Source organism: Homo sapiens, chromosome 12, assembly GCF_000001405.40.
Source record: "Homo sapiens chromosome 12, GRCh38.p14 Primary Assembly".
NCBI lineage: Eukaryota > Metazoa > Chordata > Mammalia > Primates > Hominidae > Homo > Homo sapiens.
The window spans coordinates 87,135,169-87,162,999 of NC_000012.12; the positions used below are offsets into that span (position 1 = coordinate 87,135,169).

Genomic DNA, 27,831 nt, shown 5'->3' on the forward strand with positions numbered 1-27,831 from the left:
CCTCAGCCTCCGGAGTAGCTGGGACTACAGGCGGCCGCCACCACGCCCGGCTAATTTTTGGTATTTTTTAGTAGGGCCGCAACCACGCCCGGCTAATTTTTGGTATTTTTCAGTAGAGACGGAGTTTCACCATGTTAGCCAGGATGATCTCAATCTCCTGACCTCGTGATTCGCCCGCCTCAGCCTCCCAAAGTGCTGGGATTACAGGCGTGAGCCACTGCGCCCGGCCCATTTTATCTTGTTTTATTCCTCCTTTCTTTCCTTTCTTCCATAATAACCAATTTTTCATTCAAAAACCCCATGCTAATATGCAAGATTCCCAGTCATAGGAATAAATGAAAAATTGAATGAAAACTTTGAATGAAAAGTTGGTCAGTGGAGATGAAAGAAAAGAAGGGAGGAATAAAACAAGATTAAATTAGGTCATAGAAAGAGATATCTATCAATTTTCAATCTGGTGAGGAATTGAAACTGAATTGGGCTAACTTTAGCAGAGAGGAAAATTATAAGGAATTATATGAGAATGTCCACATAACTAACAATAAGGCTAGATAAACAGGCACAGAAAAAAAAAGATTTATCTGGGATCCAGAGAGCAGGATTAAACAGTTTGATATCAGTAGCCACACAGCAATGAATGAATTCCAATTTCATTTCCAATTCTTTTATTCTGTTAAAAAAATTACATTTCAGTAAGAAAATATGTGACTGACTTAATTTAGATTACACACACATTCCTTGGCAAGGGAAAAGCAGAGAATCTTGATTAACTACACACCTACCACATTCCAGTGGAAGGAAGGTAATCCGGCAAAAGTAAACTGAGGTACTAGTACAAAAGAATTTGCAATTTATGATAGTAAAATTATTAAAGTCTTGTATAAGGCCCCAGAATCTTTATTTTGCTGCTGCCACAACCTGTGGTACTTTTAACAGCTTAATAAGTTAACTGAATTTCTACTTCTATAACTTAGCTAAAATACAATGCCTTCAGGAAAACCCTTCCCATATCAGTTCCAATTTTTGTATGTTCACTGAGTATAGCATATTTTTTACTAGATAATCATGTTAATCTCTTGTAGTTAGCAATTTACTTGTGTGATTATTTGATTAAAGGTTAAAATGCATATCACTTTTGCTCAAATATTATCTCCAGTATTAAGCACAGTGCCACTCATAAAGTGAGTGTGCCACATGCAATAACTGAATAAATGAATAAGCATAGGAATGCTATTTGATATGAGAATGTATGAGTTTATTAAATAACTTTAATAGAATAAGCCTAGTACAGGAACACTTCAGGGCTGAACAGGGGAACAGGAACCCAAAGGAATGCTCAGTTCAGTAGTTTAAAAAAAAAAAAAAAGATTTTGCTGAGTCACAGAAACTACGAGGAGAGTGTTTAAAGGAAGAAGCAGTCAAGCCACAGATCTTAGTATGTTTAATGTTGCTATTGCAGAATATCTGAGGGTGGGCAATTTACAAAGAAAAAATACTGAGTTGGCTTACAATTCTGGTGGCTGGAGGGTTTCAGATGGGCAGTTGGATCTGGTACAGACCTCATGCTCCTTCCACTCCTGAAGGAAAGTGGAAGGGGAACTGGTGTGTGCAGGGAGAACACATGGTGAGAGAGGAAAGAAAAACTTGCTCACCGAAACTCACCCATTCCTGACAGAATTCACTCATTCCTGAGGGAGAGCATTAACCTATTCATGAGGGATCTGCTCCTATAACCCAAACAACTGCCACTGGGCTCTGCCTCCCAACACTGCCACATTGGAAATCAAATTTCAGCATGATCTTAGGAGTAAGTTTCAGAAGATATATCGAGGAGGTGAGAACTCAGAAACATAAATTGTTCATCACCTTTGAGATGCTTAGTTTGGAAACTCCATCGCAGGAAGGGCAGTAGCTGGGTAAGAATGGGAATTCCAAGGACTTTTTGTTTATCTATTGAGATTGCGTCCAGCTTCTGTAGTATTTGAGAAGAGACAAATGTAAATAAGCCTATATATTTACATTAATAAATTAAAACTGAAGAAAATTTTGAACATGTAGATGAGAAAAGAGTGAGTTGACTGAGGGAAAAAAGGAAGTTGAAAAATCCAGGTTATTACCTTTAGAAAAAGAAAGGGGCATCTCCAATTTTAAGGAAGCAGAATAGGAAATCATTTTAACAACAAACAAGACTATAGACATGGAACTAGATATTTGAGGGAGATGTTGCCTATTTGACATAGGAAGGCAAGATCATTTCACAATCAAAGTAATACAGATGAAAAGATAAGAAACTGGAATGGTTCCACCAGCACTAGAGAGAAATAAAAAGGTAGGAGAAAGAGTTTGAAAATTAAAATGCCAGGCAGCATTGGATATCAATCAGCTTCATGGACCCTGAAGTTTAATCATACCTCTTTTAAAGAAAAGAACAGAAAATCATAAACATAAAAATTAGCATGAAGCCTTGGGAGGGGTCTGTGCAGGTGTGGGACACTGACACTTAAACATTTTAGCTTCATGGTAAGTTTGCCTCTCATCATAATGTGCTGATGAATTTTGTGTGAAGGGCAAAAAGTATTGCTCTAGCTGTGCCATGGAGAATGGATATTAGGCATGGAAGTCAGGAGGTAAACAAAGTAAAAGATGGCAATAAACATGAGATGAAAACAGTTTAAAGACAATATCTATTGTTAATTATTATTAAGGCTTTGTTTTCTTAGAGCAATATTAAGTTCACAGAAAAATTGGAGGAAGGTACAGAGATTTCTCATATCCCCTTTTCTCAAACATGCATAGCCTCCATTACTATCAAAATCCCCCTTGGTACAATTGATGAGCCTCACTGTCGCATAATAATCACCCAAAGACCATATTTTACCTTAGGGTTTATGCCTGATGTTGTACAGCCTATGGGTTTGGACAAATGTCTAATGACAAGTATCTATTATTATAGTATGATGCAGAGCATTTTTCACTGCCTTAAAAATCCTGTGCTCTACCTCTTCCCTTTTCATCCCTCCAAGTACCCCAACCCCTGGCAAATAATGACCTTTTACTGTCTCCCTAGTTTTGCCTTTTCCAGAGTGTCATCTGGTTGGAATTATACAGTTATAATACTTTTAGATTGGCTTTTCTCACTTAGTAATAAGCATTTAAAATTTTTCCTTACTGTTTTATAGCTTGATAGCTCTTTTTGTTGTTATTGTTTCTTGTTTGCACTAAATGACATTCCATTGTTTGGATATACTGCTGTTTATTTATTCATTTACCTACTGAAGAACATCTTGGTTGCATAGAGTTTTGGGCAATTGTAAGTAAAGGTTCTATAAGCATTTATGTGCACATTTTGGTGGTCATAAGGTTTCAGCCTTTGGATGAATAACAAGGTGCCATGATGCTGGATCATACGGTAAGAATACGTTTAGTTTTATAAGAAATAACCAAACTGTCTTCCAAAGTGGCAGTACCATTTTGCATTCACACTAATAACAAATAAGAGTTCCTGTTGCTCCATGTCCTCATCAGCATTTGGCAGTGTCAGTGTTCCAGATTTTATCCATTCTAATGTGTACATAGTGATATCTCATTGTTGTTTTGCTTATTTCCCTAATGATATGTGTTGTGAAACATCTTTTCATATGCTTATTTGCCATCTGTATGTCTTCTTGGGTGAGGTGACTGTTAAGGTCTTTGACCCATTTTTAATCAGGTTGTTGATTTTCTTATTGTTCAGTTTTTTATTATTAAGATTTCTCCCTACAAAAACTAACCCAATTAACCACATAATGAGTTCCTTACTGGTAAAGGCAAATGAACATTTTTGGTCTTTTTCAGAATGTAATAAATAACAGTCATCCTTCATTTTAAATAATCAAATATTAAATATAATTATTTTTTGATATTCCTTTGCCTAAAGTCTCACTACAAACAAGTTTAACAAAATTCCTTGAGATAAACTTCAAAATAATGCAGAATGAATATGCATGTTATATTTTTTCTTAATTAATGTAAGAGGGATAAGATTGTTTAAAAGCTACACGAAGATTTTTTCTTTCATTGAAATTGTTATTGGGATAATTAGATTCACATACAGTTATAAGAAATAATATAGAGATATACCTTGCATAATTTACTATTTCCCCCACTGGTAATATTTTGCAATAGTGTAGTATAATATCTCTACTAAGATATTGACATTCATACAGTATTCTTATCTCATTCAGATTTAGTCAGCTTTCAGTGTACTTATTTGTGTGTGTATCTTTGTGTGCATTTATTAGGTTCTATATAATTTTGTCACTTGTGTATTCATCATCACAGTCCAGATACTTAATAATTTCAACACCATATATCTGAGTATTTTCAAAGTTAAATATACAAAATATTTTATTTCTCTACCTAATAAAATACATGGATAAAAATTGGTGAATTGAAGTTTTTAGAACTCAAAAATTAAGAACATTTGAAGAAACATCACACCTGACACCTTCATTTTACTGGATGCAATGAAATGTAACCATCACTTAGTTGCATATAAATCAGAAGTGAGAAGGCCAGTTTCTAAGATATTCCAAGTCAGATATTAAAATGAGGTTAAGAGGTTGAGATGATTATCACAATAGACATTGTACATGAACTGATTTCTGATTATAATTATTTCCATAGTGCTCTTTCTGTGCCTTAAAAATGAACAAAACAAAAACTCAGGTATAATTTTATGTACTTCTTTTAATGTAATTCATTAAATTCACAGGAAAGATATATTTGCCAGTGGAAAACATTTATGTAAAGTACATGCTTAAAGTATAATTATTCAAGTTACATGGTGTTTAAAATATATCCTGTATAAACGTGAATAGTTGCATCATGTTTAAGTAGAAAAAGATGCATTTTACTCTTGAAGAATATACTTATAAAATATATGTTTAAAGTATAATTGTTTATGTAACTATGTGCTGTATAAATATGTAATTATATTTTACATGTGAATTTTTAACAAAATTTCTTTAAAGGAGAATTACAGCTTTCAATGGCAGTATTTTTTGGCTTTATTATGACAAATTTCTGAAAAAGAAAGAGAGAGCATTTACCATAATCTCTTCCTCCAGAAACTTTTTCCCATGACAGAACTTGGACTTGCATTGAAATTATCTTTTTTACTTCCCTTTTCTAGACTCAGTGCATAGATAGGCTTTTGCACAGTTCAACTTCATGGGCATTGCTATGGGAAGTTATTTTCTTCCTGAGGCTAACTAGCTCCATGGAGACAGAAGCCTCATTTCTTGCTAGATGATGACTGGCTCCATTTCACAATCTTGGATGTAGACTCAAAGCCTCTGCTTGACAGGGTAGATTTTTCTGTGGAATGTATTAGGTGTGGCTATGTTTTCACTTAGAGCCAGGAATCACTAGAAATTAGCTAAAGGATTGTACATGAAAATTCAAATTTTTGAAACCGATAGATAAGTGAGTTAAACATGGTGAAAAACAGAGCTTATCCTGAGTATAACAGTGGAGTGGCTAAAGAGTAAATTGGAGACATAGAAACAAATCAGGGCTTTCGATAATTGTACACTAGTTTTGTAGGATACAGTCTTAGTTTTAAGGGAATGCACACAGAAGTATTCAGGGCTAAAGGGACACCATGTCTACAACTTACTCTCAAAGAGTTCAGAAAGAAAAGATATATATATATATATATGCACACATATGTATGTGTGTGTGCATTTGTGTGTTTATGTGTGTATATGTGTGAAAAGGTTAATGTAAATGTGATAAAATAGAAGTATTTGGGAAACTGATTTCTTTGTATTATTATTGCAACTTTAATATGTCTGGAATTGTCAAAATTAAAAGATAAGAATAAAATACAAAACTAAACAGTTAGAAATTAGCCAATGTATTTTTCCTTCATGTCTAGAAGTTACTGTTTGATGATATAGGGGGAGAACAAAAGGGAAGAAACAAAAACAGGTTAACTGAAAACAAATGAGACCAATTAAAATTTGTCTAAAATGAACCTTAATATAATCTTTCTTTTTCCATCACACTGCCACTACAATACTCTGAGTCCTGCTATCTTATCTGGACTGGTGCAGCAGTCTCCTAATTGGTATTCCTGCTGCCAATTTCACTACACTCTCCATTAATTTTCCTAAGTCATTGCATTACAGGAATATTTCAATGTTTCCTATCACTTGCACAAGATTTAGGTGCCTAAAAGTTAGGAATTGAGTCTTACTAACTGCCATATGCATCAAAACTTAGGCCCTAACTGATAGGTAGTGTTCAAAAGATGGTGATTTAACCAGAAGCCAAACAAAGCAAGCAGTCATTGCTTTACAGACATTTTATATATTCTTATTGTAAATATAAGAACAAAGCAACAGAGAAACTATATGTTCATATTCAGCTAAGGTAATATAAAAATCAAAGTTAAAGAGCTTTGGAAATTAACTTCCTGGAAAAATGACATACTTTTCGGTTGGTTGCTTCTTAGTGTTATTGCCAAACTCAGAATCCTAGACTGGATAAAACATCATTAAGAGCTTATTTTATAATTTTTCTCTTTTTATTAGAGAAACAAACTAGTAAATTTCTTATAAATTTTGTTTTGGCTGAAATTTCCAAATAGCTGAAAAATATCAAGAAAAGTGGATAGGGCATAGAGAGTAATCACTAATGTTATATACAAAAAGGAGATGAACACTTTTCTTACGCTCTAAAGTATAACAATAATAACATATAAGAATAGTATGACAAGTCAGTGCCATCTAAGAGGCCTTGCAGTACAATTCCTCAGAAGCACATCCGCATCCACGTACACACACACACACACACACACACACACACACACACACAGAGGCAACAATATGCAATGGAAAGTACATTACAGTGGAATTAAAACTATCTGGAATTAAACTAGTTTAATTTTAATTAAAATTAAAATTATAACTATGGCTCTGCCCCTAATTCACTGTGGTTTCTTATATGGTCATTTAGCTCTTCTGAACTTTAATTATCTTAAAAGTGAGGATAATATGTACTTATGAGAGAAATCAAATCTGTAAAATGGGACTAGTATTTCTCAAATGAATCACATCTTGGAACAGAGATAATAATTTTTTGTAAAATGAAATAACATAAAATTTTACTTAAAATCATGTATTTCTGTGTTTACATAAACTAATTGTAAAAAGAAACACATTGATACATTTGTAAATAAAAGGTGTGACAGTTGAAGCAAATCTTGTAGACTATCAGCTATTGCAAGTGAGAGAATGTTGCAATCTAGCTTCCCTGTCTTGTTTATCTTGGCACTAAATAGGGGGTTTCAGCTTCCCCAAAATACTGACAAAAGTCTTTTCAACTTTGTTTCTCTTCCATAACCTCAATGCAGAATATCACAGTAGGAAGGAATGAGAGAGGAAAACAAAGCCATTGAAAGACTATCTGCAGACAAAGGACTGGTGCCAATGCACACATGAGTTTCCAATTTTCTGACTTTAATAATTTTTTTTCAAAACCATAAAAATGTATTTTTGACTCATTCAATTCCATAGGCTTGGACATTGGTGGATATTGTTCAAACTATGTTTTATAGGTAGGGAGGCTTATAAATCTTAGAAGAAGCAGCATCTTCACATAGATGAGAGTTATGAATTAAAACACATTCTTACCATTGAAATATTCTTTATATTGGAAATGCAGCTCAATATGTCCAATGAAACTCTACTGCAAAATGGCCTGTTTTTATAATAGACTTGGAGCAGAAAAATATGGTTACTAACCCAAATATGGTTGATGTATGTTTAATTTATCCAATTCTTTTGAATTCTTATTGAATAGTATTTACAAATTTGAAATTATGTCAGTTATAGGCATAATTATTATAAAATTCCTAGAAACATTTTTCCTAATCTGTATTTAGTATTAATCTATATTTAGTATTATTTTTACACATCATCTTATGTCTCTCAAATCCTGACAAAGGCAATGATGACAATAATGATATCTAGCATCATTTGCAAAGTATTTATCATGTTCTAGACTGTGCGCTAAATATTTAATGTGAATTCTCTTAGTTTTCACAGAAGCCCTATTAGGTACCTTGAGGAAACTGAATTTAAAGAGGATTTAGAAACTTGCCCAATTTCACAAGGATAATAAATGGTAGGAACACGATTTGGACAAGGGAGTTCTACTACAGGACATTTGCTTTTAACTATTTCACTATGCTCTTGCTCCTGGACAGATAACTAAATTTTATGGCAGACTTGAGATTATTTTATACTAACTAATTGCTGGTGGCAGAGGGAGACATTCTGGCTGCAGTTTATCTTTTTTTTTTTTTAAATGTACAAAGAACTTTAATAGACATTTTTCCAAAGATGATATACCAATGGCCAATAAGCACATGAAAAGAGGCCCAACATCACCAGTCATCAGGGAAATTCAAACCAAAACCACAGTGAGACACTATCTCACACCACTATAAAAAATCAGAAATAACGAGTGTTGGCAAGGATGTGGAGAAATTAGAATGCTTGTGCACTGTTTGTGGGACTGCAAAATGATGCACCCACTATGGCACCCACTATGGAACAAAGTATGGAAGTTCTTCAAAAAGTTAAAAATAGAACTACTACATGATCCAGCCACTCCACCTCTGCGTATATACCTAAAATAATTAAAATAAGAGTCTCAAAGAAATATTTGTACTTCCATGTTCAAAGCAGCATTATTCACAATAATCAAAAGAAGGAAGCAATCCAAGTTTGCATTGATGGGTGAATGGATTAACAAAACATGGTATCTAACATGCAATGAAATACTACCCAGCCCCCAAAAGCAAGGACATTATGACACATGCTACAACATGGATGCACTTCAGACATTATACTTAGTGAAATAAGCCAGACACAAAAAGAGAAATACTATATGTTTCCATTTTTATGAGGTACCTGGAATAGCTAAATTTACAGAGACAGGAAGTAGAATGGTGATTGCCAGGGGACATGAGGAAAGGGGAATGGGGATTTGTTGTTTAATGGACATAGACTTTTAGTTTTGTGAGACTGGAGGAGTTCTGGAGATTGGCTGCACAACGTAAATGTACTTAACACTATTGAACTGTACACTTGAAACTATTAAAACACTTGAAATATCCATATTGTTGCTTCTTAAAACTTGTTTCAACATGGGCTGTTGGCATAGTACTGAATCTCAATCTAGTAACTTAAATTCTGGGGTCAGTAGAAAATGAGAAGAGAAAGAAAACTTATGCCACAGTGCTGTCGCTATACAGAGATTCAGTGAAATCTTAGTGGTTTTATCTTATTTGGTCACTGATTTGCTATAAAAGATTGATCATTAGAATTAAAAGCTAAAAGAAAGTGTAATTGTCCTCTGCTTATTGAAAGAATTAAAAAGTTCATGTAGTCTGTTGAAATATCTTCCATAGATGATCAAGATAGAAAAGCGGAATAACCAAATTAAATTTACATTGGAGAAAAAGAACTACTTTATAAAGTATTACAGCATAAAATTAGAAATAAAGGCATTGGTTTTTGAAATAAGAAAACTACAGTAGATTATTGTCAAATAAAGCATATAGCTCTGCCAAAATACTACAAAGTATGTTTTTACAAAAGCAAGAAAGTAAAACCTAACTTCAGGGAAATAACAAGAAATCATTCTCAAATATTACTTGAGATCTCAGCATGTATGTGGCACAGGAGAAGAAAATTAGTTTTAGAGAAGTCAAACAGAAAAAAACTCACATGTTATCTGTCATGTTTTGCCCCCCAAGTTACAATTAATTATGCAACTAATTAAATGTGAAAAATAATAAATTACAGAATTATCTCAAGTAAACAATGAACACGTTTCTTGATATGACCAATAATTTATGAAATAATTACTTAAATAAATTTGCTATATTTTCACAACACTGAAAAACATATAGTCAGAAAGAAATGTTATATTGTCTGTCTTCTTTATAGAGCTAGTAATAAAAACACATTAAAAATGATCAGTATCTACATTTAAATATATGAAACTTTAAAATTTGAGTATGAGATTACCTTATTTAGAAAGACAGAATTTATAATACATTAGGAGATTCAAAAAATACATTTAATGGATCATCTATATCAAAAAATAAGAACCTTTAAAAGGAGGTCTCCTAGGGCTTCAAGACTTCCATGTTCTTCATCCAAATGAGTATTATCAGTTAACGTGCATCAAATAACCATCACAATAAAGTATGATTACTGGATCTACAGAAGCATGCAGTGAAATGTCTTCTTGAGTAATGGAGAACATATTTGCTACATTTCTTTGACTTTTTTACTCAATTAACTATTCTTTATCCACTGCAGAATTCTCCATAATTAGAAGTAATACCATTACCATTCACCTTAAAATTTTTAATTTTTATTTTTCTATAAGTTATTGGGGTACAGGTGGTATTTGGTTACATGAATAAGTTCCTTAGTGGTGATTTGTGAGATTTTGGTGCACCCATCACCCGAGCAGTATATACTGCCCCATGTTTGTAGTATTTTATCCCTTGCTCAACCCCCACTCTTGCCCCCAGGTCCCTAAACTCCATCGTATCATTCTTATGTCTTTGTGTCCTCATAGCTTTAGCTTCCACATGTCAGTGAGAACATATGATGCTTGGTTTTCCATTCCTGAGTTACTGCACTTAGAATAATAGTCTCCAATCTCATCCAGGTCACTGCAAATGCTGTTAATTCATTCCTTTTTATGGCCGAGCAGTATTCCATCACGTATATATACCAAAGTTCCTTTATCCACTTGTTGACTGATGGGCATTTGGGTTGGTTCTGTGATTTTGCAATTGTGAGTTGTGCTGCTATAAGCATGCGTGTGCAAATATCTTTTTCAAATAATGACTTCATTGCCTCTGGGTGGATACCCAGCAGGAGGATCACTGGATGAAACGGCAGTTCTACTTTTAGTTCTCTAAGGAATCTCCACACTGTTTTCCACAGTGACTGTACTAGTCTACACTCACAACAGCAGTGTAGAAGTGTTCCCTGATCACTGCATCCATGCCAACATCTACTGTTTTTGATTTTTTGATTATGGCCATTCTTGCAGGAGTAAGGTGCTATCACATTGCGGTTTTGATTTGCATTTCCCCAACCATTAGAGATGCTGAGCCTCCTTTCATATGTTTGTTGGCCATTTGTGTATCTTCCTTTGAGAATTGTCCATTCATGCCCTTAGCCCACTTTTTGATGGGATTGTTTGTTTTTTTTCTTACTGATTTGTTTGTGTTTGTTGCAGATTCTGGATATTAGTCATTTGTCAGATGTGTAGATTGTGAAGATTTTCTCCCACTCTGTGAGTTGTCTGTTTACTCTGCTGACTGTTCCTTTTGCCTTGCAAAAGCTCTTTAGTTTAATTAGGTCCCAGCTATTTATCTTTGTTTTTATTGCATTTGCTTTTGGGTTCTTGGTCATGAAATCCTTGCCTAAGCCAATGTCTATAAGGGTTTTCCCAAAGTTATCTTTTAGAATTTTTATACTTTCAGGCCTTAGGTTTAAGACTTTAATCCATCTTGAGTTGATTTTTGTGCAAGGTGAGAGGTGAGGATCCAGTTTCATTCTTCTACATTTCTCCTACATGTGGCTAGCCAATTATCCCAGCACCATTTGTTGACAAGGGTGTCCTTTCCTCACTTTATGTTTTTGTTTCCTTTGTCAAAGATCACTTGGCTGTTAAGTATTTGGGTTTCTTTCTGGGTTCTCTATACTGTTCCATTGGTCTATGTGCCTATTCTTATACCAGTACCACGCTGTTTTGGTGACTATGGCCTTAGAGCATAGTTTGAAATCAGGTAATGTGATGCCTCCAGATTTGTTCTTTTTGCTTAGTCTTGCTTTGGCTGTCTGGGCTCTTTTAAGGTTCCATATAAATTTTGGATTGTTATTTCTAATTCTGTGAACGATGATGGTGATATTTTGATGGAAATTGCATATGTTGTATGTTGCTTTTGGCAGTATGGTCATTTTTGCAATATTGATTCTACCCATCCATAAGCATGGGATGTGTTTCCATTTGTGTCATCTATGCTTTCTTTCAGCGGGGTTTTTAGTTTTCCTTGTAAGGGTCTTTTGACTCCTTTGTTAGGTATATTCCTAAATTATTATTATTATTATTATTATTATTATTATTATTATTATTATTATTGCAGCTATTGGAAAAGGGGTTGAGTTCTTGATTTAATTCTCTGCTTGGTCGCTGCTGGTGTTTAGAAGAGCTACTGATTTGTGTATGTTAATCTTGTATCTGAAAACTTTGCTGAATTATTTTATCAGTTCTAGGAGCTTTCTGGAGGAGTGCTTAGGGTTTTCAAGGTAAAGGATCCTATCATCAGCAAACAGGGACAGTTTAACTTCCTCTTCACCGATTTGGATGCCCTTTATTTCTCTCTCTTATCTGATTGCTCTGGCTAGGACTTCCAGTACTATGTTGAAGAGGAGCAGTGAGAGTGGGCATCCTTGTCTTGTTCCTGTTCTCAGAGGGAATGCTTTCAACTTTTCCCCATTCAGTATTATGTTGGCCATGGGTTTGTCATAGATGGCTTTTATTACATTAAGGTATTTCCTTTGTATGCCAATTTTGCTGAGGGTTTTAATCATAAAGTGATGCTGGATTTTGTCAAATGCTTTTCCTGCATCTATTGAGATGATCATGTGATTTTTGTTTTTAATTCTGTTTACGTGGTGTATCACATTATTGACTTGTGTATGTTAAACCATCCCTGCATCTCTGGTATAAAATCCACTTGATCATAATGGATTATCTTTTTAATATGCTGTTGGATTCAGTTAGCTAGTATTTTGTTAAGGATTTTAGCATCTATGTTCATCAAGGATATCAGTCTGCAGTTTTTTTTTTAGGTTGTGTCCTTTCCTGGTTTTGGTGATGCTGGCTTCATGAAATGAATTAGGGAGGGTTCCTTCTTTTTATATCTGTGGAATAGTGTCAAAAGGATTGGTACCAATTCTTTGAACATCTGGTAGAATTCTGCTGTGAATCCATCTGGTCTTGGACTTTTTTAATTGGTAATTTTTTAATTACTGTGTCAATCTTGGTGCTTGTTATTGATCTGCTCAGGGTATCTAATTATTCTTGATTTAAGCTAGGAGGGTTGTATTTTTTCCAGGAATTTATCTGTCTCTTCCAGGTTTTCTAGTTTGTGTGCATAAAGATGTTCATAGTAGCCTTGAATGATCTTTTGTATTTGAGTGGTGTCAGTTGTAGTATCTCCTGTTTTATTTCTTAGTGAGGTTATTTGGATATTCTCTCTTCTTTTCTTGGTTAATCTTGCTAAGGGTCTATCAATTTTATTTTTCTTTTCAAAGAACCAATTTTTTGTTTCATTTATCTTTTGTATCTTTTTTTTGTTTGTTTGTTTAAATTTCATTTAGTTCTGCTCTGATCTTTGTTATGTCCTTTCTTCTGCTGGGTTTGGGTTTGTTTTGTTCTTATTTCTTATTTCTCTAGTTCCTTGAAGTGTGACCTTAGATTGCCTGTTTGTGCTCTTTCAGACTTTTTGATATAGGTCTTTAGGGCTACGAAATTTCCCCGTAGTATCGCGTTAGCTGTATCCCAGAGGTTTTGATAGGTTGTGTCATTATTGTCATTCAGTTCGAAGACTGTTTTAATTTCCATTTGGATTTTGTTTTTGACCCAATACTCATTCAGGAGCAGTTTATTAATTTCCATATATTTGAGTGGTTTTGAAGGTTCCTTTTTGAGTTGATTTCCAGTTTTATTCCACTGTAGTCTGAGAGAGTGCTGGATATTATTTCAATTTTCTTAAATTAATTGAGGCTTGTTTTATGGCCTATCATATGGTCTATCTTGGAGAAAGTTTCATGCACCATTGAATAGAATGTGTATTCTGTGGGTGTTGGATGAAATGTTCTGTACATATCTGTTAAGTCCACTTGTTCCAAGGTATAGTTTAAATCCATTGTTTCTTTGTTGACTTTCCGTCTTGATGACCTGTCTAGTACTCACTGGAGTATTGAAGTCTCCCACTATTATTATGTTGCTGTCTATCTCATTTCTTAGGTTTATTAGTAATTGTTTTATAAATTTGTGATCTCCAATGTTAGGTGCATATATGTTTAGGATTGTGATATATTCCTGTTGGACAAGGCTTTTTACCATTATATAATGTCCCTCTTTGGGTCTTTTAGCTGCTGTTGTTTTCCAATTTGTTTCATACGATATAAGAATAGCTGCCCCTGCTCACTTTTGGTGTCCATTTCCATGAAATGCCTATTTCCACCTCATTACTTTAAGTTTATGTGAGTCCTTATGTGTTAGGCGAGTCTCCTGAAGGCAGCAGATAGTTGGTTGGTGAGTTCTTATCCATTCTGCAGTGCTGTATCTTTTAAGTGGAGCATTTAGTCCATTTACATTCAATATTAGTATTGAAATGTGAGGTACCATTACATTCATTATGCTCTTTGTTGCCTCAGTACTTTGGTTTGTTTTTTGTTTTTTGTTTTTGCTTTTTAACTTGTATTTTTGTTTTATGGGGCCTTTGTGATTTATGCTTTAAAAAGGTTCTGATTTGATGTGTTTCCAGGATTTGTTTCATGATTTAGAGCTCCTTTTAACAGTTTTCATAGTGATGGCTTTGTAATGGTGAATTCTCTTAGCATTTGTTTGTCTGAAAACGACTGTATCTTTCCTTCAAATATGATGCTTAGTTTCACTGAATACACAGTTCTTGGCTGATACTGGTTTTGTTTGAGGAAGCTGAAGACAGGGCCTCAATCCTTTTTAGCTTGTAGGGATTCTGCTGAGAAATCTGCTGTTAATCTGATAGGTTTTCTTTTATAGGTTACCTGGTGCTTCTATCTCATAGCTCTTAAGATTCTTTCCTTTGTCTTAACTTTGGATAACCTGATGACACTGTGCCTAGATGAAGATCTTTTTGTGATGAATTGCCCAGGTGTTCTTTGTGCTTCTTGTATTTGCATGTCTAGATCTCTAGCAAGGCCAGGGAAGTTTTCCTAGATTATTCTCCCCAATATGTTTTCCAAGCTTTTAGAATTCTCTTCTTCCTGTCAGGAACATCGATTATTCTTAGGTTTGATCGTGTAACATAATCCCAGACTTCTGGGAGGCTTTGTTCATATTTTCTTCTTCTTTTTACTTTGTCTTTGTTGGATTGAGTTAATTCGAAGACCTTGTCTTCAAGCTCCGAATTTCTTTCTTCTACTTGTTCAATTCTTTTGCCGAGACTTTCCAGAGCATTTCACATTTCTAAAAGTGTGTCCAAAGTCTCCTGAATTTTTTATTGTTTTTTCTTTAAGCTATCTATTTCCTTGAATATTTCTCCCTTCCCTTCTTGTATCATTTTTTGGATTTCCTTGCATTGGGCTTCGTCTTTCTCTGGTCCCTTCCTGATTAGCTTAATAACTACTCTCCTTAATTCTTTTTCAGGTAAATCAGAGATTTCTTCTTGGTTTGCATCCATTGCTGGTGAACTAGTGTGATTTTTGGCAGGTGTTGATGAGCTTTGTTTTGTCATATTACTAGGATTGTTTTCTGGTTCCTTCTCATTTGGGTAGGCTCTGACAGAGGGAATGTCTAGGGCTGAAGGCTGTTGTTCAGATTTTTTTGTCCCATGGGGTGTTCCCTTGATGTAGTACTTTCCACCTTTTCCTGTGGATGTGGCTTCCTGTGAGCCAAACTGCCATGATTGTTTTCTCTCTTCTGGGTCTAGGCACCCAGCGAGTCTACCCAGCTCCAGGCTGGTACTGGGGGTTCTCAGCACAGAGTCCTGTGATGTGAACCATCTATGGGTCTCTCAGCTGTGGATATCAGTGCCTGTTCTGATGGAGGTGGCAGAGTGCAATGGACTCTGTGAGGGCCCTTAGCTTTGGTGCTTTAATGCTCTATTTTGTGTTGGTTAGCTGCCTGCCAGAAGGTGGCACTTTCCAGAAAGCATCAGCTGTAGTAGTGTGGAGAGGGACTGGCCGGGGGCAGGGCCCTAGAATTCCCAAGATTATATGGCCTCTGTCTTCCACTACCAAGGTGGAAAGGGAAGGACCATCAGGTGGGGGCAGTGCTAGGTGTGTCTGAGCTCAGACTCTCCTTGGGCAGGTCTTACTGTGGCTACTGTGGGGGATGGGGGTGAGAGTCCCAGGTCACTGAAACTGTGTACCTAGGAGGATTATGGCTGCCTCTGCTGAGTCATGCAAGTTGTCAGGGAAGTGGGGGAAAACCAGCAGTCACAGGCCTCACCCAACTCTCATGCAAATTGAAGGGCCAGTCTCACACCCACCATGCTCCCACAAAGGTCCCTAGTCTGTTTCCAGGCAGAGGGTAAGACAGGCTTGAAAACTTGCCTGAGGCTTTCTGCCTTCCAGCCGTGAAAGAAAGGGGCTTTAATTCTTCCCCCTCCTGTGAAGTCTGAAAGCCAGATTCACACCCTCCCCAGAGTTCTGGCCAGGAGGCTTCTCACCCTGTTCAAATTGTTACAAAGTTCAGCTAGAGATTTCCTTCACTCTGTGGAGTTTTACTCCCTGCTCCTCTGGCCACCCTCCTGATGGGTCCCTGTGGTGTCAGGCAGGAATGGGCTGCCTGGGGACCCAGTGATCTCCCAGGGCCTTTCTGCTGCTTCTTCTACCCCTGTATTTCGCTCAGCTTGGCTCTCTAACTTGATTCATCTCCAAGTAAAGTCGGAAACTTCTTCTGCAAACAGACCTTCAACTTCTCCAGTGGGGGTGTGTGTTCAAGAGAGGAGGGTCTCCCTTTCTCACCTCCACAGTTGGGGCGCTCACAGTATTTGGGGTGTCTCCCAGGTCCTGAAGGAGCAGTCTGCTTCCTTCAGAGGGTTTGTTTGTCCTCTCAGGATTGCTGGTTTGTTTTTGCAGTTGATCTGGAGCTAAAATTCATAGTGCAAGCCTCTGCATGTTGCTCTGTCCAGAGCTGCAATCTAGTCCTGCCTCTCGTCTGCCATGATCCCAAAATCCTCCTGCAGTTTATCTTAACACTTAAAATAGAAACTGGTTTGGCTGATTGTAGAAAGGAAGGTCCTTTAAATTTTTACAGCATCTTTCTGAGAGCACAGAGTACTTGACTACGCTTCCTCACCCAGCCATGGCCTGTGAACTCTCTCTCAGAGCATAGCTGCCTTCCTCTGTTTTAACTTTGTGCCTCTCAGTTATCCATAGGGAGTCCATTTTGCTATTAGCCAGAGGCATATTTTAACAGTATCATTTCTAATTCTTGCAATAGTTTAAAAATATGTGTAGTGCAGTTGGATAAAAATGTTCCTTTGTATAGAATATCACTATCTGTTCATGAATCTAAACATAGTTCTTTCCTAGCATACCTTCCAAAGATAATGTGCATTTACTTTCCTCCAACTTTCACTGTTTTATTCAAGGTGACCAAGTTAGACTCAATTTTCCCATCTGTTAACTCCACCCATGGAGAATTTGTTTACTTCCATAGAAGTTCCCTTTGTATTACAGTACTATAGTGAATTCAATGAATCACGTAAAAATACTACCAGTTTTCATTTGTTGTGTGCCCACTAATTCTTGAGTTCAGTTAAAACTTGAAATTATTCTTCTAAAATGCCACAGTGCATTTAATTACTGACTTGCTGCTGTAGAGTTTTTTATTATACTAGAGTTAATCATAGTTTTATTGTTTATAAAAAGTTCATTACTAAAAGGTGTTTAATGGTTATCTGCTAGCATTTTAAAATGGCATAGTAGTAATCAGCCCTCAAAGGACTGTGTCTACCTAAGGTTAGCTGAAAAACACAGCAGCCTAATTACCATCCCAAATCACCACCCTGCCATCTGTTATCTCTAGGAGAAGCAGAAGAAAATGTAAATCTCTGGGAAATAAGGGCTTTGTGTGAGAAGTCCAGATTTTTTTTTTTTTCATTTTCCCCACAGTATTTGTGGTGGTACTAACAGTGCCATAATGAAAGGACTTTTTCTTTCCTGTTATCCTTTTATTCTTGAAGAGAAGTGTCAGAGATACCAAAACCATGGAATTATAACATGCATATATCACTTCAGTCTGCTTTTGAAGACCAAAATAAAATGCAAACTAGGTGGACAAACAGAACTTCACACCGTAGAGCTACTCACCTAACACCCTGTACTGAGATAAACTCATTACAGAGAAGACACATTTTTGACATAGGTAACATATTTTTCAACCAGATTTGAAAATTGCACAGCTCTAATCTTACTGCTAGCCACTATATTTATTTTTCACATACAACTCAGTTTCCATAAAAATAATCTATGTTATGATACAAAACAGATGAATGGTGTTGTAATGTTCTGGCCTTTAAAAGAAATTAGTTGCATTTAAAAACAAAAAAAACACGATATTACTCTTTGTTCTGTAGGAATTCTCTTATATCAAAAAGAAAGTTAAACTTTATTACATTTATACTAATGAGGCAATGGGAATATAAATAAGGGAGCTGGCCAGGTACAGTGGCTCATGCCTGTAATCCCAATACTTTGGGAAGCTAAGGTAGGAGTATCACTTGAGACCCAGAGTTTAAGGTCAGCCTAGGGAACATAGTAAGACTCCATCTCTACAAAAAATGTAAAAAAAAAAAAAACACTTCAGCTGGGTGTCATAGCATACACCATAGTCCCAACTACTCAGGAGGCTGAGGAGAGAGGATCGCTTCAGCCCAGGAGTTTAAGGCTGCAGTAAGCCACTATCATGTTACTGTACTCCAGCCTGGGCAACAGCATAAGACCCTCACTCAAAATTTTTTTAAAAAAAAGAGACACAAAAACTGGTTTGTAATGAAAATAATACAATGAAACTTAAACCTTTCTCATAATTTATATTTTTTCATCCCACCGAGGCAGCCACTTTGAAGACCAAAATCATTTCTGAACTTTCTGTGATTCATGTCAAGAAAGTACTCTGAGTCCATATAAAAAGATAGTAATTTCAATTCCAATTACTTTTGGTACACTATATATACAAACTGATCAATCAGTTAATAAAGTATTTCAATAAAAATTATTTTGTCTAAGAAATTATAGTCACATATCCTGGAAATCATGCAATCATGATTTTTAACTTAAAAGGGATCTTGTTTATTTTGACTGTATAAAATAATATATGATAACAGAATAAGATGATGAAAATAAAATCGCAAAACTGTTGTTGAAATTTTAATAGTGAACTGATAAAATATTTCATATTTTATACTATTGCTTACTTTCATTTCTTTATTCTTGGATATAATTCTGTACCAGAGAGAGCATAATAATAAACTTCTAAATATACTTTCTTTCTGGTTTATTCATTTAAGAAAATATTATTGAATACTACTGTATGTTAAGCAACATCTTATAGACTGGGAGTAGATTAAGCGTAAATATCCACTGTTCCATTCCCATAGCGTACTACCTACTGTGTGAAAAATATATCACACAATGGCACAATGTAAGGAAAAGCATAACACACACAAAAAAATCTGTGTAGACAGACAATGAAATCTGATCTAGACTGGGGGGTAGGGGTTCAAATGAGAAACCTAAGGAAGCAACCCTTAACTTAAAGTCTCAAAGATGAAGAGGAGTTAACTGAGCAAAGAGGTCAGAGCATGTGAGCCACACATATAAATACTCTGTATTATGAGAAAGTGTGGCATGTTTTAGAAAAAAAACATGAAAAAAGAAGTGAGTTATAAGACAAGAAGCCAAAAGGTAAACAAAGGACAATCCATACAGGGCATTGTTCTCAATCCTAAAATATTGGTAAGCCACTAAATGATTTATGCCACGAAGTTATATAGTCATATATGAATTTGAAAAGAGTACTGTGACTGTGGAGGAGATACTGTGCTGTTAATCTAGTTTTGAGGCTGCTGGACTACCCTATAAAGAGATTATATTTATTTAGAGTTAAGAGCAGCAGATAATGAGCCAAGTGGATGAAGATGAGAAGTTACATGATAGTACTTTATAAATTGTTACCTATTTTGTAAACTTTTTGTTTACATAAGCTTGAATAGAATTTTTTTCCATATGTAATATTATGTATATTAATTATTCATGTAACTTTGATAGATTGATAGATTGATTTGTGAAATATGATAGATGAGCATATGAGTTTATCTCCTCTCTCTCCCAAACCCATTGTGTTAGTCAGTCATACCTTTCTCCAATGTTTCTACTGCTCCACCTTCCAGGCATACAGAACATATGCCCTTCCCCATCCAACTGAAATTGGGCAGCTGAGTGTGGTTGCTCACGCCTGTAATCCCAGCATTTTGGGAGGCCAAGGTGGGTGGATCATGAGGTCAGGAGATCAAGACCATCCTGGCCAACATGGCGAAACACTGTCTCTACTAAAAATACAAAAATTAGCTGGGCTTGATGGTGCGTGCCTGTAATCCTAGCTACTCAGGAGGCTGAGGGAGGAGAATCGCTTGAACCAGGGAGTCAGAGGTTGCAGTGAGCCAACATTGTGCCACTGCACTCCAGCCTGATGACAAAGCAAAACTCCATCTCAAAAAAAAAAAAAAAAAGGAAAGAAAAGAAATTAGGCATGGACATATGACTCACATGGACTACTGACAAGACTAGAGAAAGGGGTCAATGAAATCTTTGAATATGTGGCAATTAAGGTGGATTTTGCAATATTACCATAAACTACCTAGAGAATGTTGGAAAAAGAACCTGATAAAAATGTTAAACATTTCCAAAATTATGAAAAAAATCTCGCCACAGAATTTACAAATGGGTTACAAAATATGTATTTAAAACATTTGTGAGAAATAGTTAAAGTTACTTTAAGCTAACATAACTGCAACAGCATAATAATTTTGTAGTAATAAAAACAAATTATTAGAAGAAATTAATATCTCAGAGACACATCCAAAGATGAAGTTTTGGATTGTTATAGAACTCATTAGAACTGAATAAGGAAAGGCTGAACTAAGTTAATGACATTGGAACACTTGGTTTTCCACCAAAAGTCAAGTATATTTAGATGTCCTACTTATACCATTCATATGCCATGTAATATGAAATAAAGACCTAAACTATAATAATCTTAGATATTAAAACCAAACTATAAAAACAATACGAAATAATTTAACAGATTATGTTTCTGTTCTTAGACAGGCAATATCTTCTTAAATAAGATTTTAAAAGCAAAAGACAAAAATAATTCATGTTAGATATTTGATAGTACAAATTATACAGGCAGACACACACACACACACACACACACACACAGGACAAAAAACTCCATAGAAAAGGATCAAATCAAGAGACATACTGGGGGGAAATACATATAACACAGGAGAAAAACAGAATATTAGAATATATTTTTAAATTTATGAACTAGTAACACAGATAAATGATATAAACAAAATTGGTCCAAGAAACATACAAACACACACAGATACACAATCAATAGAAAATTTTGTTTCTATTGGCAAATTTTAATGAAAACAGTGAGATTCCATTCTATCCTCACTTCAGAAATCAAGTTTCAGAATAATTAAAAGAGATTATATTAATAATTATTTTAAAAATCTCTATTTTTACTACCACATACATGTGTTTATAAACATGTAGAAAAATGCCTGGAAGGATCTACAATTAACTATTTTCCTTCTGGCTTTGAAAAGAAGAAAGCTGTAATGAAGCAGTAGTCAAGTAAGATATTAACCTATTTATAATACTCAATATATTAATAAGATTGTTTTCACATATTTGTGTAAGTATACATTAATTTTAGAAATACAGAGATCTATATGGTTTAAGAGACAAATGTTTTGTAAGTATTAAGCCACAATTTATTTTTTCTGGACAAAATTTTTAACATTTCTGAATTTAAACATCTTTTTTTTAACAACAGGAAAGTAAAAGGTACATTTGTTTCATTGAGTCAGACAATGGAGGTGAAGCTGTTAAGAAAAAATAAACTCCATACAAGGTAAGTTATAATACTTCTATATTTTTGCTTGAACTTTGAGGAAAAAGTGAGACTAAATTATGTATATATTTACTATAATTATGTTATTTAGATAAGTATAAATGTCATCAATGCTTTCTCTTTAGAATATCTATTAACAAATAAATACTTTATTGCTTCAAATATATTTTTAATTCTTTTTTTGACTGCCATCTCATTACTATTAAATTTTAATACATGAGAACTTTGTAAAGGAGTTTGTGTCATCATTTCTTTTAGTTAATTCTATCATTGGAAATAGATTAAATAAAATTTGTCAACTAGAAATTATGAATATCACAAAATTGAATATTTTTGGAATAACTATTAAAATTATAAAGTTATTAGGAAATGTAAAATAGGGTTATATTTTTAATTCTAAAAGGAATTAAAATATTAATTTAAAATTAATGCAACTACTTATACATGTAATTAAGAAATACTGTAGTTATATTAAAGAACCATAGTATTTCTAATATTTTGAAAGGCATAACAGAAGTAAAGAAAAGAATTCATAATCCTTAATAGACCTCTGAAATTCTTTTTTCATTAATTACACTGTACCACAGCTATAATCTCAACTATCTTCAAGAACAGAAAAAGTTAAGTAAAAGAGCAAAGCATGCTGATGTAAAAGCAAATAACTATGCAAGCCTGCTGATGAACTAACTTGTAAAACTCCTCCTAATGTCAAGGAGAAAAGGGAGGAAGAAATAGCCTGACGCTGGTGAGCTGGAGGGCTCTCTTGGGCCAGTTGGATAGCATAGGCATTAGTCAGCTCCTAGTAATGGTTTTGCAAGTATGTTGACCATATTCCCAAACCTTCAGATAATTTACAAGAATACAGGCATCTGGGCCGGGCTCGGTGGCTCACGGCTGTAATCCCAGTACTTTGGGAGGCCGAGGTAGGCAGATCACCTGAGGTCAGGAGTTCAAGACCAGCCTGACCAACACGGAGAAACCCTATCTCTGCTAAAAATACAAAATTAGCTGGGCATGATGGTGCACGCCTGTAATCCCAGCTACTCAGGAGACTGAGGTAGGAGAATTGGTTGAAACTGGGAGGCAGAGGTTGCAATGATGAGCTGAGATCGCGCCATTGCACTCCAGCCCGGGCAGCAAGAGCGAAACTCTATCTCAGGAAAAAAAAAAAAAAAGAATACAGACATCTGTTTTTGTTTTGTTTTTAATTATTCACAAATTATCGTCAGTTAATGTTGTCTTAGTATTTCTAATGTAATGTGGGTCAAAATAGCACCTCCTCACCCCATATATTTGCTTTTATTTATATGATTATGATTTTCTTTGGATCTTGTGGTCAGTGGGTATGCTGATACACCCATTGCAGAGTTAATTTGGCACTGCTGGCACATAATATATAATTTAATGCATCCATGTATTTACTTACATTTTACTTTTACCCTGGAATTACCAGCTTCCTTGTGCCCAGTAAAGTCTCTAACAACAGTTACAGAAAGGCTTATTTTCCAGTTTCCCAGAGAAATGTCAATTTCTCCATGTTTTTTATTATCTTATAAACCCATTCTCTTCCTCTACATGTATCTAGGTTTCTATACTAAAAGCACCAAACATTCACCTTCATATTTTTAATAATTATATATCTGTTTTATCCACTAAATTGTGAGTTTCCTAAAAGTAGGTACATAAATTTTTCATTTTTGACCTTAGCCTAGGGTCTAAGGGTCTTGTATGAACAGACATTCAAAATTACTTATTGAATTGCATTGGTTTGAATTACAATACATATTAAAATTGATTTAATTTATATTTATGTATTTATCATATCCATAAACTTGCCCTGAACCTATCTACATGTGAAGCTATGTTATTGGTGCAGATGATACAAAAATATAACAAGTTCTCTGACATCCAAGGAGATTAACACTTAAGGAGATAGACATTGAGAAACATCAACAATGCATGTTTTAAATATACCAAAATGTAGAAATTGCAATAAATTATGTGCAGCTTTCTGTGGGAACATTTTAAACAAATGCTTAACATTTGTCAAGCACTTATTCTGACCTATGCACTGTCCTAGATTTATACTTATGCAAATAATCCTTGTAGCAACCCTATAAGGAAGATACTCTTAGGATATATTCCTGGTGAAACACTTAGGAAACTGAGGCACAGAGATGTTAAGCAATTATCCCAAGGGTCATATAGATCTCATGTGACAAAGCCAGAGTCTATGTTTTAATTACTGTACAGTTTCACTTTATTACTTGGAGATAGGGATTAAGGATTAGGGAAGCCTCAAGAAACACAGAAGGTGGTAGTGAGTCTTGAGTTGATTTTAGAAGTATGAGATGGCACTTACATGATGAAATAAGCAACACCAATGGCTCCTGGGTGAGTGTTTGGCAATTTCCAGGTGGGAGAAACTGTAAATTAAAAACTGTGTCTCCAATATTGGGTATGAGGAGTATAAAAGTGAGAATGAGCTTGAAAATATAAAAAGGATACACATCATAAGCTGAGAAATGAGGAGTCACTGAAATGCTGGATTTGGAACTAAGGCTCTCAAACTTGTTATATAAGCAAACATTTTTGGCTATAAAAGTAAAAACAACAACAAAAAAACTGGAAGAAAACTGAATACTGAGTTAAAACAATGAAAGGAATCAAAAAGAAGGAAGAAAAACATTGATGCTTCTAGGCAACAAAGCAAACTGTAAGATTATTTTTTGTAAAAAACATCTATATTCCCGATGAAGAAAATGATTTTGCCACAAGCAAAATAAAAAGAATATGAAAGAGGGAGAAAAAAATTAAACCTTGAGAAAGCTATGGACACAATTTAACTTTGCTCAGGCTGATGGAGTAAGAAGAAAAGATGGAAAGCATCATCAAGAGACCAAGAAAAAGCTGTGGGAAATTACAAAGAGCAGAAAAAGCCTAGATCAATTTCCATCTAAAAGTCTGTTTTCAAAAGACACTTGGTTTAGCAAAAATTCTTTTTATAACCATAGTACTAAACTTTTCTTTGGCCTTCACCATTTTGTGACTTGGAAAACATTTAAAATGCATTAATGGGGTTTGCTAGTGGTTTATGGGAGCCCAATAAATAACATGCTTTTTTTCTGGACTAAGTTCTGAACAAACTTAAAAATATAAGAACGAATAAAAGTAGCAGAAAGATTAAAATGTTACCAGGTTAATTTTTTTAAAAAGTTCTCACAGGTTAAAAAAAAAAAAAAAAAAGACTGTTCTGTAGCCATGCTAACAAACAGCCATCAGAACAGTTTCATCAAAAGTTTTACACCATTTTGATATTTCAGTGAATATTCATATTAATGAACTAGGTTTTGCAACCAACCAGTCAGTATTAGACACTCCCTTCCGAAAGTCAGCCAGTCAGGAAAGCACCCTCTACAAATATACATCTGTGAGTGTCAACCTATCCACAACAGTCTCACCTGAGTAACCCCTCCTAAAAATGGCATCAAACCTATAAGCTTTTCAAAATCCACTAATCCTAGTGGATTAGAACTTCATGCCACCCCAAACACTTGTAACATCAGTACTCTGCTCTGCCGTGGAGCTGTGCCTGGCTAATATATCTTTTCTTACTATACCAAGCAATATATTTAAATTTTCTTTTTTAAATTTCAGATATTGAATAGCAGTTTAATCACCTGTGACAGGTCTTTATTATTGAAATAGACTATGTTGGAGGCTCTAAGACAATGTTAGATTCAATGTCCTGCTAACTGAACCCTATAAACAGGCAGCTATCCCAGCTTCAGCATACTAGATTGGGGCAAGTCCCACCACTCTGTAGGGCACAGGAACCTGTCCAGATCTGACTGACAGCAAAGTGGAGTAAAGAGCAAGTACTCTTACAAGCAGTTTGTTCCCAAATAGAAAAAGGTAGAAGCTGAATTGAGCATGCCCAGTTTATTTTTCCTAAATTTACAAGTCAGAAAAATTACTGTACTTTGCCTGAGGCAGAATGATTAAAGAGGCAGAAAAATACCAAGAATGAGTAATGAAAGCAGCAGAACAAACACTTAGAGGGCATAGGTAAAGCATTTGTCCTATAATAGGTTCTAGCAATTACTTATCCAATATAAAATACAAATAAAACTGCAATAAAAATATGTTAGGCTACAGATGACTATATATTAAGTGGTATCCTATTCAGGCTGCCATAACAAAATACCATAAACAGGCTAATGTAAACAATAAAAGTTTATTTTGTCACAGTTTGTGGAGGCCGGAAGTCCAAGATCAAGGTACCAGTGAGATAGGTTTCAGTCTGAGGCCTGTCCTCTTGGCTTGAAGGCAGCTACTATTTCACAGTATGCTCACATAACCTTTTCTTTCTGAAACCTCTCTCTCTCTCCTTCTCCCTTTTCACATGAAGTGACCAATCCTCCGTGATTAGAGACCCAGCTTCATGATCTCACTTAACCTTAATGACTTCATAAGGACCCTATCTCAAATATAGTCACGTTGAGGATTAAGGCTTTAATATGTGAATTTTGGAGGGACACAATTCTGTCACTGCCTCCACCAAAAAATTCATGCTCTTTTAAAATGCAAGATACATCCCAAAAGTCTCAAAAGTTTTAACCCAACCTGGCATCAACTCTTAAGTCCAAAGTCTTATGTAAATATTCTTATTTTTTATTTATTTTTATTTCACTAGTTTTAGGGGTACAGGTGGTTTTTGGTTTCACGGATAAGTTCTTTAGTGGTAATTTCCAAGATTTTGGTGCACCCGTCACCTGGGCAGTATACAATCCACCCAATATGTAATCTTTTGTCCCTCACTCCCCTCCCAAACTTCCCCCATGTTCCTAAAGTTCATTACATCATTCTTATGCCTTTGCATCCTCATAGCTTAGCTCCCAGTTATAAGTGAGAACATACAATATTTAATTTTCATTCCTGAATTACTTCACTTAGAATAATGGCCTCCAGCTCCATCCAAGTTGCTTCAAAAGACATTATTTTATTCCTTTTTATAGCAGAGTGGTTACTCCAAGGTGTATATATGCCACATTTTCTTTATACATTCATTGGTTGATGGACACTAGGTTGGTTCCATATCTTCGCAATTGCAAATTGTGCTGCTATAAACATGCGTGTGCATGTGCCTTTTTCATATAATGACTTATTTTCCTTTGGGTAGATACTCAGTAGTGGGATTGCTGAATCCAATGAAATATAGTTCTACTTTTAGTTCTTTAAGGAATCTACATACATTTTCCATAGTGGTTATAATAGTTTACATTCCCACCAGCAGTGTAAAAGTGTTCCCTTTTCACCACATCCATGCCAACGCCTATTATTTTTTACTTTTTAATTACGGCCATTTTTACAGGAGTACAGAGATATCTGATTGTAGTTTTAATTTCCATTTCCATGATAATCAATGATGTTTAAGATTTTCTTCATATATTTGTTGGTTGTTTGTATATCTTCTTTTGTTAAAGTCTCATATAAATATTTTAATCAAACAATGGGTGAGACTCAAGGCATAATTCATCCTGTGGCAAAAATTATCCAGCTGTGAACCTGTAAAATCAGATAAGTTATATGCTTCAAAAATACAATGGTGAGTTGGGCATAGAATAAACATTCCCATTCCAAAAGGGAGAAATTGAGAGGAAGATAGGGGTGATATGTCCCAAGCAAGTCCAAACCCTAGCAAGGCAAATGGCATTAATCTTAAAGGCAAATAATAAACTTCTTTGGTTTGATGATTTGCCCTTCAGCCCCATTGGGTTGGCAACATCAACCCATCAACAGCTCTTCAAGAAGGCC

The 27,831-nt window shown here is 35.1% G+C and overlaps 1 long non-coding RNA gene across 1 annotated transcript in view, besides 2 other annotated features; it reads right to left on the reverse strand.

Moving 5' to 3' along the window:
• LOC105369878 (uncharacterized) overlaps positions 1-27,831 on the reverse strand; it is a 145,625-nt gene that overhangs the window by 93,253 nt on the left and 24,541 nt on the right. The window lies entirely within an intron of this gene.
• Positions 16,174-16,303: an enhancer, noted in NCBI's record as "active region_6696". NCBI's record gives its function as "activates an Ori minimal core promoter by ATAC-STARR-seq in GM12878 lymphoblastoid cells {active_cell/tissue: GM12878}" and the evidence as "EXISTENCE:reporter gene assay evidence [ECO:0000049][PMID:35858748]".
• Positions 16,314-16,363: an enhancer, noted in NCBI's record as "active region_6697". NCBI's record gives its function as "activates an Ori minimal core promoter by ATAC-STARR-seq in GM12878 lymphoblastoid cells {active_cell/tissue: GM12878}" and the evidence as "EXISTENCE:reporter gene assay evidence [ECO:0000049][PMID:35858748]".